The sequence below is a fragment of the Homo sapiens genome, chromosome 1 (assembly GCF_000001405.40).
Source record: "Homo sapiens chromosome 1, GRCh38.p14 Primary Assembly".
Taxonomy (NCBI): Eukaryota; Metazoa; Chordata; class Mammalia; order Primates; family Hominidae; genus Homo; species Homo sapiens.
Window position 1 is genome coordinate 36,664,728 of NC_000001.11, and position 10,720 is coordinate 36,675,447.

Genomic DNA, 10,720 nt, shown 5'->3' on the forward strand with positions numbered 1-10,720 from the left:
TGCCCTGTTCTCTGACCCCGGGTGGCCTTTCCTTCGTGAGGAGGTAGCTGGTTTCCTGGGTGACGACAGGAGTGGGGAGTGTGGGAGAGGGAGGGAGGCTGGCATTCCTGCTGCTGAGGGCTTAGAGGAAGCATATGCCATCCCGGCTGCCCTGTGAATTATTCAGCGGCCGTGAGAACTGACTTGCTCCCCAGTCTGCTGTCTCCTCCCAAAAACTTCCTGCTGCCTCCTCCTTGGCAAACCCACCTCTGCCTCAGTCTTGGGGGCTTAAATTGCTGTCTGAGGCCTCTGTCCTCAGGATGCTCATTTCTGGGTATCTTTGAATCTCTCCCCACTTCCTGTTTCTCCCCCTCACCTTTGAGCCACTATGATAGATGATTTCTTCTCTACCAACTACTGTGCTAAGTGCACAGATGTGGAAACTGATAGTGGCCAGGTGCAATAACCTGCTCAAGATAATACAACTACGAAGTGGCGGAGACAGAACTTAAACTCGGGTCTGACTCCAGCCTGTGTTCTTGGGTCTTGAAATGGCCCTTGGATTGATGGAGAAGATACTTTCTAGAATCTGCCCCCAGGCTGCCTTGAGAGCTGGCGAGGGGGTGTTGGATGGGGTAGGTTAGGCCAGCTCAGGGTTCGTCCATGCTGGCTGTGGACTGTCCTACTTGCCCATGCATCTGCCTGGGTACCTGGCCCTTGGGCTCCCAGAGCATAGCGCAGCCAATGAAGCAGCCTCCTGCCTCCAGCCTGCTGCAGGTCTGGCCAGAGCACAGGCTGCTTAGAGGTCTCCTGGTGTAGCCCCCTCATCTTTTGGAGGAACACAGGCAGGTCAGGGCTGGCCTAAGTGCCTCACTAGGGGCCTTCAAGTCCCTCCCCTGCACTCTGGTCATTCTGGGGAGAGTAACACTGCTGTGGGTGGGGCTTCAGCACTTGGAAAGGCTGCCAAGAAAGGAACCGAAACGCTTAGTGGAACCACAGGCAAGACATGCACCTCGCACTGAGTGTGGGGAAAGGGTCGAAGGTGCAGTGACTGGAGATGGCAGCAGTGGTGGTGGCCGAGGGATAAGCCTCTGGGAGGGATCTGGGAACCTGGCAGAAGTGCTTCAGCCATCCAGGTGTGGACCCTCATGGTCTGGCTCTCTGTGATGGGTGCCAGGGCTGTGATTCCCCCAGGCCGGGACTCTGAGGTACATGCAGACCAGCTATGCTTAGAGGCTGGGAAGAGGCTGCCTTTCCCTTGGCTCACTCCATTTGACCCAAACACACATTGACAATTTTGGTCTAGTTCGTGGGGCCTCCTGTAACCAGGGACACCTCCGTGGGAGGTTTCGTGCTGGGATGCCAGGTGGGACAAGGCCCCTGCTCCAAGATACTTCCACGGTTGGTACCTAGACTCTTCTCCTCCTCCTCTGGGTTCCTCTGCTGCCTGTCAACCACTCAAAGCTGCCAACCATTGTGCTTCCCACCCAGTTCAGGGATCAAGTCAAGAGAGTCATCTTCACTGAAATTCAAAAATGAGCCACTACATGAGTGACTCAAGTTCAGGTTGGATAGTAGTGTCCACCCAGGAAGCCAGGTGCCCCCAAAACTTTGCACTTTGGTGGCTTTGGTTGTGGCTGGGATTAGATCTACTATTGGATGTGGACAGCATGGGAGGTTGGGTGCCTTGAGCGAGGGCCTCACTGGGTCAGGTGTGTTATCCACTCTCTTTCACCTGATGGCTAAGGGGCCTCCCTGTCTATCCACACCAAGCCTGGGAACACACTTTGACTGATCGAAGTCAGTAGGAACTTAGTTTCCTCCAACTCCTGCCTCCCCCTGGCCTGGCTTAGGCCATTTTCCTGCCCCTTCCAGGAGTCCTCCCTGTACCTCTCCTCCCTCTGGCTCCTCAGAATCCTCCTGGAGATGCAGTTCCCCTATGCTGGGCCTGGGCTCTGGGATCTCACCATTTCCCTTTTCCCTGCTGCTCAGCCAGGGCCCCTACTCTGGCCCCTGGGCCCAGGAGAAGGAAGGCTCTTTAGGTTCCAGATGGCTTCTTTGCCTCTGATCCCTCGTAGTCACTGGAAACTCTTTGGCCGCCAAGAACCCTCCACAACCAACCATGAAGCATCATCCCTGATGACTACCTCATGCTCCCCTCCAGCCCGGGATCAGTGCCTTTCCCTTTTCCTCTGTCTTTTCATGCCCACCTCCCCCATTAGAAGCTGTTCTAGTCTTTCAGGTCATCATGCATACAATCTGGATAGCTGCCATTATGTGAACTGTAGTGTCTGGGCTAGAGTCACCTTGAACAAAGAGCCTCTCCATGGTTGTGGATAATTGTGGACCTTTAATGTTTTCTCAAATACATGCATTGCAAAAACAGAAGACAGAAACCAAAATATATGTATGCAATACATATTACATATATAACCTATAGACATATAGAATGCGTGTGTAGTAGAATTTATTAAATAACAAAGTATAATGAGCTAATCTAATTAATGACTACATATAAAAAGTGATAGCTAATTTAGAGCAAGATGTAGAAATAGCCCAACATTTAGGTAAATCGGGCATCCTCATTAGCCCTTAACTGCTAATAATTAAGCTTAATTTTACATTGACTGTTAACTTCTCTCATTCTCAGAGCAATTTAATTTTGGCTTCTTGGAGGCTTCTGTGAGCCCCCTGAGACCTCTGGTCAGCTGGATGAGGTGTTAAACCCTGATACTTTTCCTTTCTGCGGCTTTAACTGCCACAGGGAAAGAACCTTATCTGTGATTGCTTTCTGCAAATCCCCTGGTCCCCTTTGTCTGTGCTTGCAGCCCCTACATCTTCTCCTTTTCACAGAGAAACTCAATAGAGAGAGAGATCATGCTACGTGTATGCATATTTTCCTAGGGCTGTCTTTTTTTCCAATTAAGAAAAGCATTTTCTCACCCTGACCCCTTCTTCTGGCCAAACTCTGCCACCTTTGGAGCTATATCTTGTCTAAAATCTGTTTGCTTCTAATTCTTGAGGTCATCCATTGACCTCATGTCTCTGTAATACTTTGGCTTATGTGACCTCTTCTCTGTGGAACATTGCTCTCTGTTACCAGGGTTTAGAGTTAGGGCAATGCCAAATTATGTCAGACTTAAGCTTTTTAAAATATAATGAGAACTGTGTAATGACATTTAAAAAGGAAAACGTATGGTTTCCTCATAGGGAGCTGTGACGTGGGGAATCTCTGATCTGGTAAGGGATGGACTCTCATTGAGGGGGTCTTGGGACTATCAAGTACACAGGCCACAGGCTCCCGCTCCTTTCTGCCCCAGGGGAGAAACAGAGGAGCTGCTCTTGTTGCTGTTTGCAACCTTTAAGACCCAGGTCAGGAGGGAAGCAGGGTAGGAGCTAGGAGCAAGAGAGGAGAGAGGGAGGGACAGAGGCTCAAAGCTCAGTTCAATTCAATTCGACTGAGTCCAAGTGCCAGGCTTGGTACAAAGTGCTAGAAATTCAGAGGATGACCAGCTATGTCATTTGTGGGTACAATGCAAAATGAAAATATGCGGCCCCTTGTTCAAAATTTATTAAACATTTCAAGATGATGACAACAGAGCATTAAATCAAATGCAGGTGAGAGAGGGGTAGACACATCCTAAGGTGCCCTGGGGTTCCGAGGAATACAGCGTGAAAAACACTGAACGTAAAGCCTGAGACAAGGACCTGGGTCCAGGTGATTTACCTGACCCCAGGAAGCAGGAATGAGGGAGCAGGGAGGTGAGACAGGGAGGAGGAGAAGCCAATGTACGAGTAAGCTGTTGGGGTTGTTTCTGGGCATTATGGGATTATGATCCCACCAAATCTCCTGGGAATGCCCCAGAATCTCTGCCCGAAACACTGAGAGCTGAGGCATTTCTCCATCAACTCCCAACCCCATTGGTTGAAGGATGCCCCTGGGGGTGCTAGCTTTCTTGCATTTCTTTCTTCTTCTGTTTTTTTTTCTTTTTGAGATAGGGCCTGGCTCTGTCACCCGGTTTTGAGACAGAGTCTGGCTCTGTCGCTGGAGTTTACTGGCATGATCACGCCTCAAGTGATCTTCCTGGCTCAGCCTCCTGAGTAGCTGGGACCACAGGTGGATGCCACCACGCTGGCTAATTTTTTATATATTTTTTGTAGAGACAGGGTCTCACTTTGTTGCCCAGGCTGGTCTCAAACTCCTGGGCTCAAGCGAACCTTCCATCTTGGCCTCCCAAAGTGCTGGGATTACAGGTGTGAGCCATTGCACCTGGCTCTTTCTTGCATAAATTGAACTTTCCCTACAACCATGCTATTTCCCAGGCTCCTGGAAGGTTTTGGGGCAGACGTAGAAAGACATCCAGAATGGCTCTTTGAGGTGGAACTCTTCAGTGCAAGATGAGTCGGAGCTTGCAGACAGCTGCCCTTCACAGCCGTCAGATGTGGGCCGATAGGAGGTGACACTGAGCTGAAAGGTGTCTGCTATCAAGACTTGAACAGAAAGGGCCTCTACACGTTGGAGATTTTTTTTCTGGCAGCTGGTGAGGACTGGGTCAGAGAGTGAGCAGTGGTGCTGAGGTTGTTGCCCCAGCCCCAGGAAGAGAGAGCAGGAAGTGCCTTGTCCGAACCCCCAAGCCCCTTGAAGGCCACATTCCTCCCTTCCCCTGCTCTAATAATTAGTTCCAGGTTCTTGTCCTCCTGGGGCCTAGTTATTTCCCTGCTGCAGTAATGAGGTGTGGGGTGGGGGCAGTGGGGGCCAGAACTGAGCTGATTAGACCTCCCAGGCCAGCAGCGGTTGGGCTGTCTGAAGTCGCTGCCTAAGCAGTAAAGGCACCTTCCCATTTGTCACCAGCATTAGAGCTCGCAGGATGACCTGTCCACTGCATTCTCATGCCCGGAGTTCAGGAGAACGGGTCCCGGACGGCCAATGCGGATTTCCAATTTAGAATTTCTGTCCATTTACCAGGGAATTACCCCTAAAGAACACCATTTATGGAGCTGACAAAGGCCAAATTAGATTTTGGATTCTGTAGCTGTGTGTGGGTGACAGGCTGAGGGGAATGAAACAGCAAGGAGGAAGCTGCAGACGCCACGTTTGTGCGAGGAAGCGCTCGCTCGTCCTCTCTCCGACAGCCCCTTGAGTCTTATTTCTCTGTCTGCAGTGGCCTCTGCCACTTGCTCTGTTACCCTTTCTTGGCTGCTCTCTCTTTCTGGGCCTCCCTTGGCCTGTGTCTGTCACTCTACATTCTGAGCATCCTCCCGTTGTCCCCGCACCCCCCCGCCCCCTGCCTTTGTTTCTCACGGCTGTGTTTCTTGGTCTTTAACTTCCAGACTTTTTTCTTGGGGGCTCTGCCTCATCCTCTCTCCATTTTTGGTGGCTGTTTTTTATTCAGCGGATGGAGGCCCCTGTTCTATATGATCAGAGGGCTGTGGCAGAGACAATGGGATATGTTCATCAAATCCTATTTCATTCTCTCCCTGGGTAAATTGGAAGACTACATTTCCCAGCCTGTTAAAAGGGATAATGCTTAAGTTGGGGCTCAAAAGATAAAAAGAAGCCAGCCAAGTGACGAGTGGAGGAGGTGGGAGAGGGCATTCCAGGCAGAGGGAACAGTTGGATCAAAGCTCTAAAGGGGCAACAGCTGGATGTGGGGACGGACAGAGACCAAGATGACTGGATTTGTTTGGTGGAATTGTTGATGCCAACTCATCACTCCCCTGTTGTTGCATTCCACACCCACATACTTGCCATGGCCTTACGTTAGCAGGAGCACACTTCTCCATGGTTTTAATTAGGGCTTGACCATGTGACTTGTTTTGATTAATGAGATGTTGGGAGACACCTTGAATTGTAGAAACTTGGATTGTTCCTGTGTGGTTGGGTCTGTGGTCCTGTGCTCTGCTATTGCTCAGAGAAGGAGATGTCCCAGGATGCCCCAGTGGCACATTGGTCACTGAAGAATGAGAGACATGCATAGGAGACCTGAACTCAACTGGTGGCCAGGAGCCAAGATCAGCCAAGCCCAGACTAGATGAGCAAAACCCCAGCGAACCCACAGACATGCTTGTAAGCCACTGAGTTTGGGGCATTATTGTGGCCCTGACTAAACTGACCCATGGAAGCTGAGGGAGCCTTGGGGACTGGGGATTAGGATGAGGCTGGACAGGTGGGCAGGGCCAGTTTATGCAGCATCTGTCAAGGCATGGTCGGGAGTTTGGATGGGAAGCCTTTGAAAGGTTCTACTTTCTAGGTATAGGATATGGTAGGGGTTATTGATACCATTGTATAGATGGGAGAAAACATTTTACATTCCCAGAGAACTTAAGCAAGTTGACCACTATTACAGAGACAGGAAGGTGACGGAGTGGTATCAGACCCCAAATCTGTCTGAGCCATGAAATGGTTGTCTGAATTCCTCCCCTTGCGTCAAGTCTGTTTGCCTCAGTTTTATAGTGTGACATGCTTTGATCCTGTCTCCAAGGTTTTTGGTGCTGATTGCTTCTTTCTCCTTCCTTCCCATCCTTTGCATGACTGTCCATGTGGCCAAAGGCCCTTCTGGTAACCCCTGCTCTCATAGTCCCTCGCGATCCAGCAGCACATCCCCTGCTGCCCCACTGGCCCAGAGCCCCTGGGCAGCCATCCTCTCCTGATCTCACGGGTCCTCCGGTTTCCTGGTCCCATGACATCACTGGCCAGCACAGTCCCTGGCCCTAAGCAGACTCTACACCTGCTGCCTCTCCTTGCACTCTAGGACTGCCAAGTGGTGCTGAGGATAATTATAGAGTATGGTTCCCAGGTCAGTGAAAAGATCATGGGGTTCGGCACTTACAGACTCATGTTCAAATACCAGCTCCTTAGCAGCTGCGTGACCTTGGACAAGTTACTCAATTCCTTTGAATCTCAGTATCTTTGTCTGCACATAAGGGATAATGGGGCCCCTGTCACTGGACTCTTAAGAGAATGAAGTAACTTATAGGCAGACACTCAACAGATGGGAGCTATTGTAGTTGTTGTGGGCAATGAGAATGATTTCCAACGCCACCTGGGCCCTCACTGCTCCTTGGCTGTCATTATACCCATCTCTGTCAGCCTATCACATCTCCCAGTTGCCCTCACCAAACCTTTCCACCCTCCCCCACCTCCATCCTCCTTATACCAGTCATGCTCTGCAGACAACCTCAACTTGCCCTCTACTGGGTAGATCAAAGTCATCAGATGTGGGTTCCCTAGATTTCCATCCATCTCTGTCAGTGTCCTCCCCAATCCTACCTCAGAGGGAGGGGCTCCATCCTCTTGTCACATCCTTCCACCCCTCCAGAGTGCCCTAAATCATAATGCCTTCAACTGGCTCCAAGACCCTTCTCCATCAATTAGCTTCGTACGTCTTACTTTCTTTGTTCATTTACTCATTCATTCAACATCTCTCCTCTTTCTCCAACTCTGCATTAAGCCCTCAGTCTGCATATTTGCTCACACTTTTCCCAACTGGAAAGCCCTTTAAATACTTCCTCAGCGATTGCCCCATTTTCTTCCCCATTTCCCAGCAACGCTCCTTTCCTGCTTCCTCACCGTGCTTGCTGTCCTCACCAGCTCCATTTCGGCTTCCGTCTCCACTAAACCACTCTTGTCAAGGATACCAGTGACCCACTTACCAATTCCAATGACACGTCTCGGTCCTTATCTTACTAGATCTCTTGGCAGGAGCTGACACTGTCAACTGCTTTGTTCTGCTGCCTCTCTCTTCCCCTGCTTTGAAATGTCTACTTTGTCCAGATTTCCCCCACCTCTCTTGTTAGTCCCTTTCTCTGCTTCCGGCAGCTCCCCTCAGGGTTTGGTCTTGGCCCTCTTCTTTGGAAATGACACCTAGCCATACAACATTAACTCCTGTGTGACCTCTACCTTGCCTTCCAGATCTGTGTCTTCAGCCCAGACCTAGCTTCTGTGCCCCAGGCCCATCTAGACAACTTTCCACTGGGTGCTTTGTGGGGTGCCCAGACCCACCGTCCTGCCTCCTCCTAACCTGCTCTGCCATTTGTGCTCTGTACGCAGGCTAGTGGGACAGTTCATCATATTTCTGGGGTCAGAAATCTCATCTTTGCCTCTGACATATCATCCGTTGTCGAGTTCTGTCAAGTCTACCTTCCTAAGATACCTGGCTGAGACCTCACCTCTCTCTCCTACATCTCCCAGGAACCTTCTCTGACCTCTAGAGAGGCAGGATCCCTGGCCCTTAAGCATTTGCAGTTCACTGTACTTCTCCTGGGCAGCACTTCATCACACTTGCAATTAAATAACTCATCATATATGTATTTATTTAACGTCTATCTTCCTGCCAGACTGTGGGGTCTGTGAAGGCAGGGGTTGTCTCTCTCCTGGTTATCTCTGTGTCCCTATACCTGGCATGGTAACTGATACATGTTAGGGACTCAACAAATACTTGTGGAGTGCCCAGACAGCAGTAGGGAGGAATTCTAGATTGGGAAGAGGTGGGACAAATGTCCCGGCATTAGGTGCCCACGTGGGAAAGCACAAAGTAAACCAAAGTGCACCCCTGAACCTTATTGCCTGTGCTCCCCTCCCCGCAAAGCCTCTGAAGACAGCAGCTATGGAGGCTTTTGTTCTATTGACAGGAGGCGAAGCAGCTACAAGCTCCTTAATCACCTCTTCACAAACATGGGGAAGCCTCATTAATCCCAGTGAGCAGATGATCTATTGTTCCCAGCTCAGGTCTCTGGAAAACTGGCCTTTCTCTGCAGATGCAGAATCCACCCCCACCCAACTGGGCAGGAACATTCTGTCCCCTTTTCTCATGTAGATGAACTGCTAACACTCTGTCCCCTTCTCTCGTGTAGATGAACCACTAACATTCTGTCCCCTTCTCTCGTGTAGATGAACCACTAACATTCTGTCCCCTTCTCTCATGTAGATGAACCACTAACATTCTGTCCCCTTCTCTCGTGTAGATGAACCACTAAGCCTTGGGAATTGTACCCTTGGTGGGGGTTCTTTGCCCAGGTGAGCCCTCAGTGTACACTGAGACCAGGACCAATCTTCCACAGATGGCCTCTGCTCACCTACCACATAGACAAAAACTGGAAAAGGTTTGGTCATAGCAGTGCTGCAGAGGAAAGGGGTTCTCATGTGGTAGTTGGTGTGTGTGTGTGCATGTGCATGCAATTTGGTAGTATGAGTGGTTACGTTCATCAACTCTGGAGACAGACTGGGTTAAAATCCCAGCATTGGCACTTGCCAGCTGTGTGGGCTTGGGCAAGTCATTTGTTTCCTCCATATCTCAGTTTTCTCATTTGTGAAGTAGAGATAATGATAGTATCTACTCACAGGGTTATTATGGGGACAGGTATGTTAATATATGTAAAGGCTTGGTTTCAGTCATCCTCTATCTGAACTGAAACACTTTAGAAGCTATATTCCCTCTCCTCACCCTGAACTAGGAGACCAGAGGCTTGCTATGGAAAGCATGGGGTGGAGGAGCAGGTTCTCATTGACTGCTCTTTGACCAGTGGTTTGGGGGCTCCTTAGAAGTGAGACTCAAGGAGTTCAAGACCAGCCTGGCCAACATGGTGAAACCCCATCTCTACTAAAAATACAAAATTTAGCTGGGCGTGGTGGCAGGTGCCTGTAATGCCAGCTACCTGGGAGGCTGAGGCAGGAGAATCGCTTGAACCCAGGAGGCGGAGGTTGCAGTGAGCCAAGATCGCACCACTGCACTCTAGCCTAGGGGACAAGAGCGAAACTCCACCAAAAACAAAACAAACAAAAAAAAAAAAAAAAAAAAAGGAGGTGAGACTCAGATATCCCCAGCTATGCCCTGCTGTGTAGCTGCATGTCCTGCGTAAGTGGCTGTGATTAGAGGCTGGGAACTCTGGGCTCTTATCCCGATTTTGCATCTGACTTGTGTGAACCTGGGCAATTTGCTTTCCTTCTGGGCCTCAGTTTCTCTATCTGCACAATGAAGGAGCTGGCCTAGAAAGGAGACGGATTTTATTTCATATGCCATTTCAGATCAACTGGTGGTAGCTGGAGATGTGGATGGAGAAGGATTCTGAAGCTGTGCCCAGGCTCTGTAGGAAAGAGTGTCTGTGATTGATGAGTGATATCTGCAACAGACATGGGATACAGAAGTGATGGGCAGCATTTCTTGTATTTGCCATCCCTCAGCTAGATGCTTGATTTTTAAGGGGTCCTCCTTGATCTAAAGCTGTTCAGTGTTGTGCATGTTCAGAATGAGACTCATTAACAATCCAGACATGATCTTGGCATTAGTTCCAGGAAGCCCTGCTCATTGAGCTTCAGTGTTACCTGGGTTTGAGGAGGAGAGGGGTCTTCTATAGCTCTGTCCCAAATACCTGTAAATATAGCTGGTGGTCACCATGAAGGGGTGAGAGATGTTGGCTCTAGAGAGTGGAACCTAGAAGGGGACCGGGAAGCATGTGAGGGGTGATGCCTAGCCAGGGAGGTGGTAAGGGTGGCAAGCATGATGAGATGCCATGGAGCAGCCAGGCATGGGTGGATCATCTGTGAGTTTTAAGGCCAGAGGGGGAGTAGTCAATGAGATCAAGGGAGACAATCTTACAAGTGTGCCTGGGGCAGGCTCTGCCCAGAGTAGGATCAGTGCTGGGGCTGGGACACAGGAAGCCTCTTCCCTAGGAACTACTACTTCCTATAGACTCCAGCTGAAGGCCCCGGCCATATTGGCCTCACTCCTGAGAGAACTCATGT

At 50.0% G+C, this 10,720-nt stretch overlaps 1 annotated feature.

Moving 5' to 3' along the window:
- Positions 1,011–1,060: an enhancer, noted in NCBI's record as "active region_760". NCBI's record gives its function as "activates an Ori minimal core promoter by ATAC-STARR-seq in GM12878 lymphoblastoid cells {active_cell/tissue: GM12878}" and the evidence as "EXISTENCE:reporter gene assay evidence [ECO:0000049][PMID:35858748]".